The 14779-nt window shown below is 37.9% G+C and overlaps 1 pseudogene, besides 2 other annotated features; it reads right to left on the bottom strand.

Annotated features, from left to right (window-relative positions):
* On the bottom strand, window positions 427-1708 carry ARG2P1 (ARG2 pseudogene 1; annotated as a pseudogene).
* Window positions 6094-6595: an enhancer, noted in NCBI's record as "NANOG hESC enhancer chr6:100620092-100620593 (GRCh37/hg19 assembly coordinates)". NCBI's record gives its function as "activates a minimal SCP1, AML or CMV promoter by ChIP-STARR-seq in naive H9 embryonic stem cells {active_cell/tissue: H9 hESC(naive)}" and the evidence as "EXISTENCE:reporter gene assay evidence [ECO:0000049][PMID:30033119]".
* Window positions 10152-10762: an enhancer, noted in NCBI's record as "OCT4-NANOG-H3K27ac hESC enhancer chr6:100615925-100616535 (GRCh37/hg19 assembly coordinates)". NCBI's record gives its function as "activates a minimal SCP1, AML or CMV promoter by ChIP-STARR-seq in primed H9 embryonic stem cells {active_cell/tissue: H9 hESC(primed)}" and the evidence as "EXISTENCE:reporter gene assay evidence [ECO:0000049][PMID:30033119]".

Genomic DNA, 14779 nt, shown 5'->3' with positions numbered 1-14779 from the left:
TTCCCTGCAGGCCCAGCATCCTCTGGCTCCTCCTTTATCTTTAGACAGCAGAATGGTAGGTGTGGGTGGACTTAATCTCCTTCCTCTTGTGGCTTTTTGGTATTTATTTTTTCAATTAATTAATTTTTAAGTTGACAAATAAAAATTGCATATATTTATCAGGCACAACATATTGTTTTGAAATATGTACACATTGTGGAATGGCTAAATCAAGCCAATTACCATATGTATGACCTCACATAATTATTTTTTGTGGTGAAAACAGTTAAAAAATCTCCTTTCTTACCATTTTTTGATATACCAAGGTAACGAATGCTGCTTATGCATCTTTAAATTTACATAGCACTACAATGCATTAATACCCAGTGAACTGCAAAAAATATATATATATATATATATATATATATATATATATATATATACACACACACACACTTACAGTGGTATTATTAGTCACCAAAATGGAGAGGGGAAACTACAATTGTGGGAATGTGCAAGTGTTCTAATTAAGGCAATATTAACCCAGATAAGCACTTAATACCTGTCCTCTCAAATTCTCAAATGCCTTACAGCTCTGGAATGCCCATTGTGAAACAAAACAGTGCACAGTATTTCCTAAATTCTCACACACACTTCATTTTCTGACTTGGCTGGGAAACGAGAAAATCTGGCCATGGGCAATGTGCCCTCCTTCCCTTGTCTGACCCAAACATAAAGCAGTTACATCTACTGGCAGGCTAGCTGTGGCCTTTGCCCTTTCCTCTAAAGTGCCCAGTTGAGGATTGACTTCAACAAGATCCAGTGCTGACAGCAACCCTGTACTATGTATTTCCCCAGTAATATAGATGCCTTCTTGAAAGGTCAGTCCCCCTACAATAGGGATTCCTGCAGCTGGAGCCAGTGTACAGTCAAATACATCAATATCAAAACTCAGATGGACAGACCTTTGTCTTTTGCCAATCAGCAGATCAAATTTCTGTTGCATGACCTCCTGGGTGCCAAATGGATTGATGTCTCTCACGGAAAAATACTAGATATCATTGTTCTTTTAAAAAAATGTTCCAGAGGGTCCATGTCTCCTAGATCAGAATACGCTATACTTGGGGAGGAGATACAAGGTTTGTCCAGGGAAATCCTGGAAGTTCTGGTACCTTTCCCTGTAGTTCTGTGAGGAGAAATGAAACTGATAGTCCATGGAGATTTCCTGATGAAGTGGTAAGGGGTGTACTGATGTCTTCTGGGCATCAACCCAAGTGACACAAAGGTCTGGGCAGTTCCAGGCATGACCACTAATGGTACTAATTGCCAGGCTGGGGTCTCCTCTCACCGTGACGCAGCTGTAGCCAGACAACACTGCTCTGCTAACCAACTCAGCCAGTTGCTGGTTGGCTGGGCCACTGAGCACAGATTCACTGTAGGGTTGTTGAAGAGCTCATCTGTGGGGACTGGAGTAAAACTAAACTTTTCAAAGTCTTTCAGGCAGCAGCCCAAATTGGAGACCCTTTTCATCAATCCAATTTTTCTTCTGGCAGCTGGACCATGTTCCACTCCTTTTCTTTTCTGTCCCTACAAGAACGGGGCTCCTATCACAACCAGACTTCTTCAGGATAGAATGCACTTGCGTCTGGAGGAGACAAGTTCCTTAGGGACTTGACTGGCAGTGTGGGGAATCACTGGGATAGAGGCAGAGCTCAGTGCAGCTGGAAGCTTCCAGTCTCAGCAATTTTCAAGAATACAATATATTGTTATTAACTATAGTGGCCATAATTTTTAAATTCTGACTTCCCACACACAAACACTAACAGACAGCAGGCAAATATACCAGGCAAGTCAAATTTCTCAACCCAGACACATTTAGCAGATTTTATTTTAATGAAACAGAATTTTTAAAGAGATTTTATACTTCATTAAAGTTGATTTACTATGCACTTTCGCTCCCTCTGCTGGTTGTGAAGACTGTGGAAAACCACAATACATTGCCCTGCCAGTAGACTTAGAGAGCAACCTGACATCGTGTAGCCTTGAATGGTTAATCTAGAGAAGGAATGAAGTCAAGCAAGCTGTACCACTGACACAGGGACATCTCACTCTCTGCCCTGGCCATGATGGAGCTGTGAGGGATCATGCACTGCAGCCCCTATTGTGCAGATGAGGAGGGTGAATTCCAGAGATTCGAGGCCTTCCTCAGCTCCAGATCCATGTGTAATTTAGGGCCCAGGGCCAGGACTCTTGTGTGTAACTTGGAGACATGTTCCTAGTGCTTGTAAACTTCACGGACAGAACTTCATGGATAAGTGAGATTGAGCTGTTACTGAAGAGTTAATGTAGCTTTAGATGCAGCACCCCTTTCTTGTGAGCTGATTGCAAGTGTCAGGTATCAACTGGTGGGAGGCGCTTATCTCAAATCCTTAACAGACAGAAAACGTTCATTTCTTCATGTGATAGAACAACAGTAAAATTCCAGCTTAAAGTTGTTACAGCTTACTTTCTGACCTCATTAAATGACTACTCTGCTTGGATTTTTAAAATGTGGTTTCATAAATTAAACACTGAGTCTTAAAACCTTCCTTGAGTTTTAATGCCTTTCCTTTGTGAAACCATGAGGGAATCCACCACCAACAAAGCATTTTTTCCCATGTTCCTGTGCGTGCCTGGTGTCACCTGGGGTCTATGCCAAGTCAAACAAAAGAAGTTTGGAAATAGTTTGTGAAGAAATTAACTTGTATACTTAAGTATATTTAAGTAGGTCAAACATCTCCTTCTCCCCCACATTCCATGACTAATGTCCCAAATAAAAGTATATTCATTTTACATGCACCACATTTCCCAGAAAAAAGCAGCAAATGCAAGACATTTATCTGTCAGGGTGAATGCACAAGGTTCTGCTCATTTTTGCAGGAGGCAGGGAGCTGGAGGAGCTGCTGTCACCATCCTCTGACTCTCAGATGACATAGGAGTTGTTTGGTGCAGATGTTAGAGGAGAACAAAATGCCTGGACCTTGTCTCTTGAGAATGCCGTGGCTATAGGACTGAAGAAGTTGGACTTGTAGTTTGGCCTTCCTCTTTGTATGACAGTTATTTATGCACTATTCTTTTTGCCTTTTTTGATTATAAGTTCATTAAAGGCTGATACAATGTCTTATTGCTTATAGCATCTAGCATGTACTAGTTGCTAAAAAGAGGTTTGTTAAATAAAGATTTATATGCTAGCTTCTGAATAAATGTTTGTTAAGTGAAAAACTTTTAAAAGGTAATTCATTTGTGACTTTTTCAAAGCATTTCCAAACTACTGCCTGGACACCATTCTCACTTAATGTGATGAATTAGAAAAGCATCCAAATTGTTTATCCCTTTAACAATATTTTTTATCAGTGAGTTGCAAAACTGTTTCTTAAAACGTATTTCTAGGTAAGTAATTTCTGAAAGGCTCCAACCATTAAGATTTAGTATGAGGGAGGAGGGATAGCATTAGGAGATATATCTAATGCTAAATGACGAGTTAATGGGTAGAGCACACCAACATGGCACATGTATAACTATGTAACAAACCTGCACATTGTGCACATGTACCCTAAAATTTAAAGTATAATTAAAAAAAAAGATTTAGTGTGTGATCATTATTAGTATAAATTTTTGAAAAGAAAAATCGATTTGCTACACATTTAACACTAAAGAACTAATATACACAATGTGTGGAGAGCTGTATGAAATTTTGAAGCAAATGTTAGATCTAATTCCTCTTAAAAGAAAGAATCATGTTTAATTGATAGAATACAGCACTTTCATGGTTCTCTAGCAAGTCAAAGGGCTTGTCCATTTTCTTGACATTGTATTTACTTAAATGAGTTTATCTAAAGGGAGAAAGCAAGGTTACAGGCAGCTTAGAACAATGTAGTAATTGTCACTAATTAAGTGCCCTCAGCTGTGTCTATACTGGGCCACTGTTTACTTGCTTTGTACATACTCAGCTGCAGGTAGCCACACTAAAAATTCCTCCACTTGTTATCACCCCTTGCTGTTTTAATTTTTATGTGGTGAAATATTGACAAACATGTCATGCTTGACTCTCACACTTTTTCTATGAATGGGTAAATTAAGGATACAACTATTATCTCTTATTCTGAATTTTCTATCTAGAAGGTAGTGCAGGGTAGATGGATGTTGGCACTTGCTCGTGAGCTGGACTGATTAAATGATTCTGAAAAATAGAAATTCAGAATGATTGTTCTTGGAATGGTGCTACACTAGTATCCATCCATCAACATACTCTCAAACATGCTCTTTATAACCATTACAAGCAATTCCCAAAGCTGGCTGGGAGTTCAGCAAAGTTAACCTTTGTAGACCTGACCCATGACTGGGATCTACAAAGCACCATGCTTGAACCACCATAGCTTTCAGCCATAGATAAGAGTTAATTTTTGCCACCTTGAACAGCATTCTCAAGCTTTCTTTGCCTTAGTTGCCATGTTTATAAAAAGATAATGAAAGACTAAACAAGTACTTCTCAAACTAACATGCACATGAATTTCCTGGGCATCATACTAAATTTAGATTTGGATTCAAAGGTCTGCAAAGAGAGTCCACATTTGTTCCCAGGTGCTCATCTAAGACTGCACATTGAGTGCTAAGGGGCTAGTTGATCTCTATTGAGCCCTCAGCCCTGATATTCTCTCATAAAGCCTTTGCTTGTGAAATATGCTTTATCCTAAATTATGTGATAATTCACTGATTTTTGATTATCATGCCATGAGGGTCTTATAATGTCAGTGAATAAGAATAATGAATGAAGGTATAAATTGAACCATTGGACTATTTTAGAGGTTTTAAAATTCCTAAGTGTACAATAATAATAACTGTACGAATTAGATGCCCAGACTGTGTGTTCATGATTTTATCATGAAATACTAAACAGCAAAAGTAGATGGCATGTTCTGTCCATTATTATTATCAGCACCACTTCAAAACTTTATAGGACCACATGAAATATCCATTAGTGCTAGCTATTTCATTTTCTTCAGTGTATATAAATACACAGCCTGAGAACAGAATGAACTTTCAAATACTTATTTGCAAAATATTACCTAGATTTTATTTTGATGCATTGTTTTTCTTCAAGATATCTCAGAATTCTGGGCACCTCCTTAACATTATCTTTACTTTTGCCTTCTGGCCACATTTCTCCCATCTACCACAATACCACTCCACCCCAAGACCAAATTAAGTAGAATCTTATGGTAAAGATATCTACTTCTGGTGTCTTTTTTATTTAATTCAATTGTACAGGTAGGTTTTTTCAAACAGCAGAAATACATTAAGAATTTAAAAGGCTCTATGTTCTCTTGTTTCTTGAGATGTTATTTTAGCATCTGCACTCAATTTCACAATCAGCTTGACTATTTCACATCTCTAGGGTTTTATAAATCTTGAACAGCATACCTCTTCATCACTTGGTTTCATTGCGCCAATTGCTAAGCAATAATATGCAAGATTTTAACAAAAATATTTATTTCACATTTTTCTTTAAGAGATTAAATGTAGTACAAGCAAGTATTTAAAAAACAGTGATTGTTTCAAATGTTGTTCAAAGCATAATGTGAAGGGCCAGAGTAAGGGTTTATGCAGATAATGCATTCATGATTGAACTATTTGTATATTAAATATGATGTTAGGTTATAAATTAACTTAAGCTCTTGAAATTTATAGACGAATTCAAAAATGTAAATCTGCTCAGAAAAGGCTATTTATCTCATTCGTTTGTATGGTAATTGAAGGTTCATAATGAAATAATCTGATGCACAGAGCCCAGCTAAATTAGCCTGCCCATAATGTACTATCTTGAAGTGACTTCACATTTTCATTAGAGCCTTTCTAATTTCTAAAGCAAAATTAATGCAATTAGTGATCAAATCAATACATATTGATCATGAGTTTCTTCAATATGGCATGAACATATTAGGTCAAAAAGAAAGGGCTTTTTAAGATCATAGAATAAATATAAGAAATTTAAGTTGTGAGTAAGACAGCTTTGTGCTACTTTCTATTGTAGCTACTATTTATAAGAAAGTGGCAATATTATTTTTATCATTGTTTGGATGAAATTCAACATAATGTGCTACATCCCTGTCCCTTCCCCCCAATGCATTAATAGGGTATTCATTGTCCATATGGATTTTTCTCTCCATAAATATCCAAAAGCAATTTTTTTTCCTCATGGTGCAGAATTTCAGATGACTAATTACTCAAAAGCATTTCTTTCTTTTCACATGCAAATGTAAGCAAGATTCCAGGGAGGAGCCCACCCCCTAAACCCTCAGCCCAGTAAATGTACCTTTGATGGAGTGGGCTGCGGTTAAATGTATGCAGGAAAGACTTGAAGCCCAGAATAAAAAATCAAAACGCATTTGTGGAAATCAACGGACTGTTGCTTTTCTACATACTAATCAGCTTATTTCACAGTGAAATAAAAAGATACTTCTAAGAGAGAGAGAGGAAAAAAGATCCAGTCCTAGAAGCACCCCTCCTCACCCCCAGCTAAATGGATTCTGAGATGTGGTTCAACTGGTGTCTATTCCTGAGGTGTGAGGGGAAACCATGATAAACTGTCTTAACTGCTCAGCTTCTTAAGAGCAGATCATGTAGATTCTGGGGGAAAATGTTGAGTAAACCCAAAAGAAAAGATCATATTGTTGAGTCAAGTCTGCCTTTGAGATCCTGCAAAAGCTAAGCTGAGGAGAGAGACCAAAGCCACAAGACTGTGGTTTGCAGTTAAGGCCAGCTAATTTGCTTTTCCGTCTTGAGGACATGTGAGGGCATGAGCTACTTTTCCTAACTCATATTTCATGACTGTATTTTAAGAAGCTTTATGGCATGTAAATAAATTCCCTTACTGTCTGTGATAAATTTCAATTGCTTTCTTTAAAAAAAGGTAATTAATTTAAAGTTTTTCTTGCAATTTTCACACCGTATGAACATAAATAAAGCTTTTCATGGTGTATAAATTTATAAACTGTAATGACTCAAAAGAATGGCAGTGACAGGTGTACATTCTGTTTTGTCTACAGACTGGTCCCCTTTACTTGAAAGTGATGTCACAGATTTTGAATTCAGACATTTATTCACTGATATGAAACTCTTCGGTGCTTCTGGTGAAGCAACCTGGTGGAACTGACTTAATATCATGACTAATCTCATAGTTTCTGAAATTAGCGCATCATTGATGAAAATAATAGATTTATATTTGTGAAACCATTTAAAAATTCTCCTGAGGGAGTTAGTATATGTGTTTACAGGTGTTTCTAGATTACTACTTAGAACGGTGTTGCCAAGCAATGCAGCATTCACTTGTCACTGGTCACATGTGATGCTTTGGCAAAAATGAATTCCATGGATAAATATAAAGTTGGGAAGACTGTTATTTTGTGGGAAATATACAATGTACATTAGCATAATGAGGCTCTCAGAAATCCTGCAAGAAAGATGACTATTTAACACCAGTTAGCTCAACATTTCCCAAATTGATTGAGTTATTCAATCTTTTGGTTTTCTTCTTCTAACATATCTACTTTGGGATACTCTGATTTTGATTTGGTGAGTGACAGGGAAATCATAAAGTCTGAATTCTGGGGATATGCTAAATGGCAATAACCACTTCACATTTGATTTTAGTCATCAGGAAAGAGCTGACAAATCCAGTTCATCAACATACTTCTCTCCCTGCCATTAAAGTATTGTTCCTTAGCCTGAGCTATTTCAATGAAATCAAACCACTAACACCGATAATAACTGATACTATTATCACCTATTTAAGAATCTCCTACTTCCTGGCTGGGCGCAGTGGCTCACACCTGAAATCCCATCACTTTCAGAGGCCAAGGTGGGAGGATTGCTTGAGGCCAGGAGTTTGAGACCAGCCTAGTCAACATGAGACCCTGTCCCTACAAAAAAAAAAAAAGAAAGAAAATCAGCCAGGCATGGTGGCACACACCTATGGTCCCAGTGTGCACCTATGGTCCCTTTTACTTGGGAAGCAGAGATGGGAGCGTTGCTTGAGCCCAGGAGGTCAGGGTTATAGTGAGCTGTGTTCAGAAACTGCACTTCATCCTGGGAGGCAGAGTGAGACTACATCTCCAAAAAATAAAAAATAAGAAATAAAAATCTCCCTCTTCCCAAGGAAAAACTAAAATAGCTCTTTCAAAAAAGTAAATAAACAAATAAATAATACATAGTCTTCATAAAGAAGACAGATAGCACAAGGAAGAAAAAATACTTGTAATAATCCCTTCATTGTAAATATCCTGATGCATATTTTTCTAGCCTTTTTATATGTATATAACCATTTACAAAACTGGATTTGGTATTTATTTCTCATAACCTATTTATTTTCACTCCATACATAGTGAACATATTTCCATGTCAATAAATCTATAACATCATTGCTTTTCATTGTATACATGTGCCATATATTTTAAAAGGCTAAAAAGATGGCAGCCTTTTAGTCACTAAAGATCGGTATGTTTAATGGCTTTGGTGTATTCTTGGTAGGTGTATGGCCGGGACAGGACCTGTGCAGGCATCACTGCTATGCTGAAGGGGTGGAGGGGGAAGGGAGGTCTGTTTTTCCTGGAGGTCAATCTCCTCTACAGAGAGAAATCAAGGGCCAAACAGAAGCTGAGGACGCTGCCTGCGTCGGCCAATCCCTTCTCCCTTCCTCCTCCCACAATTCATCTTCCCCAAACACCTTCTCCCCACTGAGTTGTCTTCCTGTAAGTGGGGGTCTTTCTGCAAGGTTGGGAGCTCTGATTTGGAGGTGATGTTTGCTGTAGAGATAGTCCCTGCTGGGTAGAACAACTGCTGCTCTCCCCCTCATGCTTCTTCTGGGCAGGATAGTCAGAACCTCTGCCCATCGGGACCTCTGTGGTGATTGGAGAGTCAGCCAAACTCACTAGGCAGCTAAAGATGCTCTATAGATGCCTCATGGCTAACATCTTTTCAGAGGGGCAGCTGAGTACCCTGAACTGTCCCCTGGTTTCTGGTCAAGCTATGGCAGCATGAGTTTTGCTACTATGGACCCTGATCTTACAATAGACTTAATAGAAGCTAAGGGTGGTGCTAATTTTTTTTTCATATTATATTTGAAATTATTCCTATGGACATGCTGTGCATACTTAGGCCAAAGGTTGCAAGAATGCCTGCCAAAAAATAGAGGCACATATAACTAGATTTTCTAAGGAAATGGAAACCACAATTCATTATCTTCTTCTAAGATTTCTTTGAAGGCCCCAGTCTGAGCTAAATGCTCCCTTATTTACATTTCCTGACTATTCTGCACATTCCTGTGACTTCTATCACCCTATAGTTGTTTGCCTGTCTGTCATTGCACAGGCACATGAGGACCTGAAGGATAAGCTGCTGTGTCTTACCAGATTTATTTATTTTTTAATTTTTAAAATCAAGCAGAGACCCTAGACACTAAGTGTGGAACCAAAAACTTGGGCTCTTTTTCCAGGTTGAGAAGTGGTTGAAAGCATGGACTCTGGAGTCCAACTGCCCAGGTTCAAGTCTCAGTTCTCTGTGACCTTGGGCAAGTTATTCAATCTCTCTGGGTTTCTTTATCTTAAAATGTGGATAACAGTAGTACTTGCTTCATAGGGCTATTCTGAGTAATAATGGGTTGATTTTTCTATAATGCATTTAGAATAATTCATGACATTTAGTAAGTATTATATGGCTATTAATTTAATTATAATTTGGTCATATCAAATTGCTTCCCAAGCCTCTTTTCCTCACAGGTATAAGTGAGATATATTGGCAGTGATTAGCACAGTGCCTGGGACATTGTGCTACAGGCTCAGTGGATACTTCCTGAGTCAGATTGATAATCCATCGTGTGAGCCTGTGAAGGTTCTAAATGGGGCAAGCATGAAGTACACTAAGGGTGTGCACTATAGCCACTTCTTGGGCCTGCTATGCTCCCTGTTTACCGCACATCTGTGGTGGCCATACAGTTAGCTAAGTTAAGTTATACTACTTCTGGTTGTTTTGTTGTTGTTTTTGTTTCTGTTTGACATGAAGGTAGATAAGAGTATGTATGCTTGTAATACTCATATTAAAATAGTAGGGAATGCCCAATCCTGTATTTCCTCAATGCTTCCACTCATGCGCATGACTTTGTATAGTGTAAATGAGAAAAAATATCATGGCTGAGTCTTCAGATTGGAGATTGGAAGGAGATCCATTTTTAATGGCATTGAAATAAGAAGTGAACCTAAATTCACCATTGCTTATTTATGGCTGTAGTTATTTCTCTCTAGTACATCCCAGAGGGTTACTTTCTGTTGTTAATTGGAACTTCTAAGCCATTTTTATTTACAAAGTGTTTTACAGTCATTGGTATTGATGACTTATAATTCCCCCATGAGTTAGGTGTCAGGATGAGGCATTGACACAGGCTCCACACTCAGGAAGCTGAGACGTGAGGGTGGATAAATCTGCCCCCTCCCACATGGCAGCCATGGGGTCCCGGTTTGCTTTGTTTTGGCTTGTCAGATTCATATTACCTTCTCCATGTGCATGATAGCAGTTACAATTGGATCCTGGATACAGGGTCTTTTGAGGAAGGACTGAAAGAGAGTGACACTGAATCCACTTAGCAATTTTTTCGTCTTTCTGTTCGCCATTAAAATGAGTTTTCCTTGCAACTGTATGTCTTTCGGCACACTTATTTTGTTTTTTTAAAGAAGGAAGACAAATAACTGCCTGTTTATTGTTAAATTTGTAGTGCCAGTCATGACAAGCATAAGGATAGTAACACTTTTGCCAGCAGGGTGCTTATCTGTTTTACTAGTTCAGAAGGACTTGATTGATGCGAAAGACTAAGGTCTCAGTAAAGACAATTTAGCCATTTCCATACAGTTTATGCTTGTGTTAGTTGTATCCTGCAGGGGAGTCCCCAGGGGTGGCTTCTTTGACCTTCCCTCTAAAAGGTAACACGTAGAGATTCCTAAAGGAACCATCGTCTAACAAGACTAATGATGACTCCCATGCCTATTATCATTCAGAGACAGAGAAGGAGGCTTTAGAAATGCAGTACCACATTCCTCCCTTGATGTTTCACATGATCTATTAAAGCGTTATGTGGCAGATAAATTAATCATTAAAAACTTACAGTTAAGTCTTTACAAATAATAACCAGGTGTACCTTGATTATCTTTGATCTCAATATATATATTTTCTGTCACTAAACAGATGATACATAGCAGTTTGTTTTACTGACAATGAGTTTGAGAGACTCAAGGAAAAAAAAGCTATTTGCCTCCAGCATTCTTTCTTTTTCTTTTCATTTCTTTCTTTCTTTTTTTCCATTTTTCAAGTTAGAAGAGCTAAAACGAAGTTCTTCATTCAGTAATAGCTCACGACAGCCATGATCACTTTTTCATCTTGCTTTGCTGGAGTGTGAGTATGAAGCATCTTCACTGTTTATTATTCCAGCTATCCTCCCATTTGATTTATTTCTCCCATTCACTGCTACTTAGTATTTAAAAGTTCCGACCAGGGGACATGCTCCACATCTTGTGTGCATTAGGTGCTCCATGATACACTGGATTCCACTTAATGCCATCCCTTTGGATTGAGGTGGATTTTTTTTTTTATTCTAATGTGCTTTTCGTCACATTAACCACTTCCAGGGCTAACATTTTCTACATTCCAAAAAGAAAAGAAAAAAGATGATAACATGAAATAGTGCAGTTGCAACAATCAGATAGATGCCAGACAAATGAAAATTCATGACAACACAAAGCATTTTGTACCATAAATGATTTCTTCATTCTCTGTTAAGAAAAATATTTAATGTTTTAATATACTACTGGTGAAACTTAGGTTAACAAAAATTGTTTGGGTAAGTGATAAATTCAGGAGCAGCACCAGGAATGTGGTGGTGGAAATAAATGCAACCAGAGAGAGAAAAGTACTCCTCAGCAGACAGTAGACTTCTTAAATTGAAAGAAGAAAAGAATGAAATATGGTTGAAATCTTTGTTTAAGTCTCAGATATTTACAATCTATCTACAGTCTACTCCATTAAGTAATGATGTGTTTTTATTATGTCGGTCTAGGAAGGTAACAACTTTAATTTGTCATTTCAAAATTAAATGTGTGATTTTCCTTTGTATTTTGCTCAATAGTATGACTGTGTTATACCTAGGTATTAAAATATGGGGATTACTTGGGAGCAGAAATCAAGATTATTTTTTCTGGTTTGTTGAATTCCTTATATGTAAAAAAAGTCTTTGTTCTGAGCAGTTGGTTATGATAATATGAATTTTTACTTTTTAAAAATTCTTCCTAAAAACAAAGTTCTTATTGAAAAGTATTAATCGGGGCCGGGTGCAGTGGCTCACGCCTGTAATCCCAGCACTTTGGGAGGCCGAGGCAGGTGGATCACGAGGTCAGGAGATCGAGACCATCCTGGCTAACACGGTGAAACCCCGTCTCTACTAAAAATACAAAAAATTAGCCGGGCGTGGTGGCTGGCGCCTGTAGTCCCAGTTACTCGGGAGGCTGAGGCAGGAGAATGGCGTGAACCCGGGAGGCGGAGCTTGCAGTGAGCAGAGATCGCGCCACTGCACTCCAGCCTGGGCGACTGATCGAGACTCTGTCTCAAAAAAAAAAAAAAAAAAGAAAAGTATTAATTGGAAACAAAGATAATTACATCTTCTTGAAATGCCAGTTATAACTAACTCACTCTAGAGCCAACACTATCTCAGGGTTGTTGACATAACTAATTTTTTTCTTTGAAAGAAAAATAATTCTTGGAGAAAGTAATAGCTATTATTAGTTATGATAATAGATAAAATGCATTAAGCATCTTTTACATGTCAACTGATTTAACTCCTTTTATTATCATGACATCATAGTCTAGTAGGCATTATTTTTCCCTGCTTGCAGATAAAACAAAAACAAAGGCAAAGAGAGATGAAGTAAATTTCCCCAGAACATATGGCTAGTAAGGGGTCAAGCAATGGTGGGTGGGATAATATATTTCCCCTGCTGAACCAATTACAAGATTTCAGTGATGTAAGTTTTTCTCTTTCCTTTCTTGGTAAGACTGACAGACCATCTAATGACACTTCAACATTGTATGATGCTGAAACCAAGGTCCAGAGATGTTAAGCAATTTGCCTGGAGTCACACAGCAAGTTAGTGGTGAATAGGGAAAGCTCCTCTGAACCCTCCTATGTTATCTGAATTGAGCCAGTTTGGCAGCCTACACTGGACAAGAGTAGGGCCAAGAGTGAATGGATTGTACTCAGAGAGCAGGAGAAAATGGGAATGGTTAAACAAAAATGACTGTCTCTTCAACTAAAAGTGTGACACATTTGGGAGTGGAATAAAGAGCATGAGTAAGGACCACTGCAGGCACATTTATGGGGCAACTGTTATTTCTCTTGGGTATGATCCTCACCTCCCACCACTACCTTCTTGTCCTTTTTTGCACTATCTGGTGACCTGAATTAAGATTAATTATGTTTCTGCTGTCTGAACTCCAGTATCCCTATAAAATCATTTACTTAAAAGTATTAGTGCTGTAATAATACCTTCCTGGAGATTTAAAGAAACTGATAAAATGAATATTGGATGCTGATCTTTTAAGCACTGTAGCATTTAGGGAGAGGAAATAATTTGACATAAGAGGAGTTTCCCAGCATTCTTCAATTCAGATTATGTAAAAACTAACGTTTATACCTATTTATAAATATGCCTGACCCTAAAAAGGTAATGCTTTTTTTAAAGAACATTTACAATATGAATAATATTACATATTTAGTTAAAGACTACCCACTTTTGAGGTGCCCCACAATGGTCTGATTTTTTTAAAACCCAACTCCATCTTAGACTGTTATCCATCTTCCCTTATTCAAATCCCTGAAGATAAAATGGAAGCGTGGAGAAGTTATTTTCCAATAGTAAAATCAAGGCAAACATGGAACCTTTCTAATTCCCATTTGCATGACCAATTATGCTGATTTATTTATTATTAGATTTTATGGATAAGAGTAGATGCTGGGAATATGTAACTCTCAGACTTCAGACTATGCAATCACTTTGAGTTCTTAGACTTCCGGACCAGTTTGACTAAACTCTATTTTTCTAAGTTATTTTTCCTCTAAATAAGTGGGTCTTCACGAGGAGAACACAGACTTGTAAGCAAAATTTTTATATCCCTTCCTATTTTCCCTAAATTAAGCAAAGAGAAAAATGGAGGATTTCTACCCCAAAAGGGAAGTAATTTATCCCTACCACAGGAATAAGATTGCCATATTTAGCAAAGAAAAATATAGGACACCCATTTACATTTGAATTTTAGATAAAGAATGAATAATTTTTTAGTATAAGAATGTCGTATGAAATATTTGGGTGTCCTGTATTTTAACTGGCAATTCTACCTAAGAAGGACTCAATCCACTTCCCTTAGAAAAGAGGTGTCAGCATTGTTCCAGCAACCTGTGGGTCCCTGTGGAAACTGTTGCCTCATCAGGATAGTAGAAGAACATCACTTTTGCCAGCAGCTCTTGGTATATGCGGTAATAGCAGCACTGTCCCAGTGTTTGTCCTGTTGTCTTGAGCTTCACTGGAGACATGGCCTTTGGGTCTTTTTTGTTTATGGTGTCAAATTGGTGTAGGAAATACGGCCATGTGTTCTGGAACTGGACCACTGAGGAAGAGGTAATCCTTTTATATTATGTTGATGGAAGCCACTCATATTTTAAGCATGGCAT

This window comes from Homo sapiens, chromosome 6 (genome assembly GCF_000001405.40).
Source record: "Homo sapiens chromosome 6, GRCh38.p14 Primary Assembly".
Taxonomy (NCBI): domain Eukaryota; kingdom Metazoa; phylum Chordata; class Mammalia; order Primates; family Hominidae; genus Homo; species Homo sapiens.
Note: the sequence above shows the minus strand (reverse complement) of the source record. Positions and strands in the feature narration are given on the sequence as shown.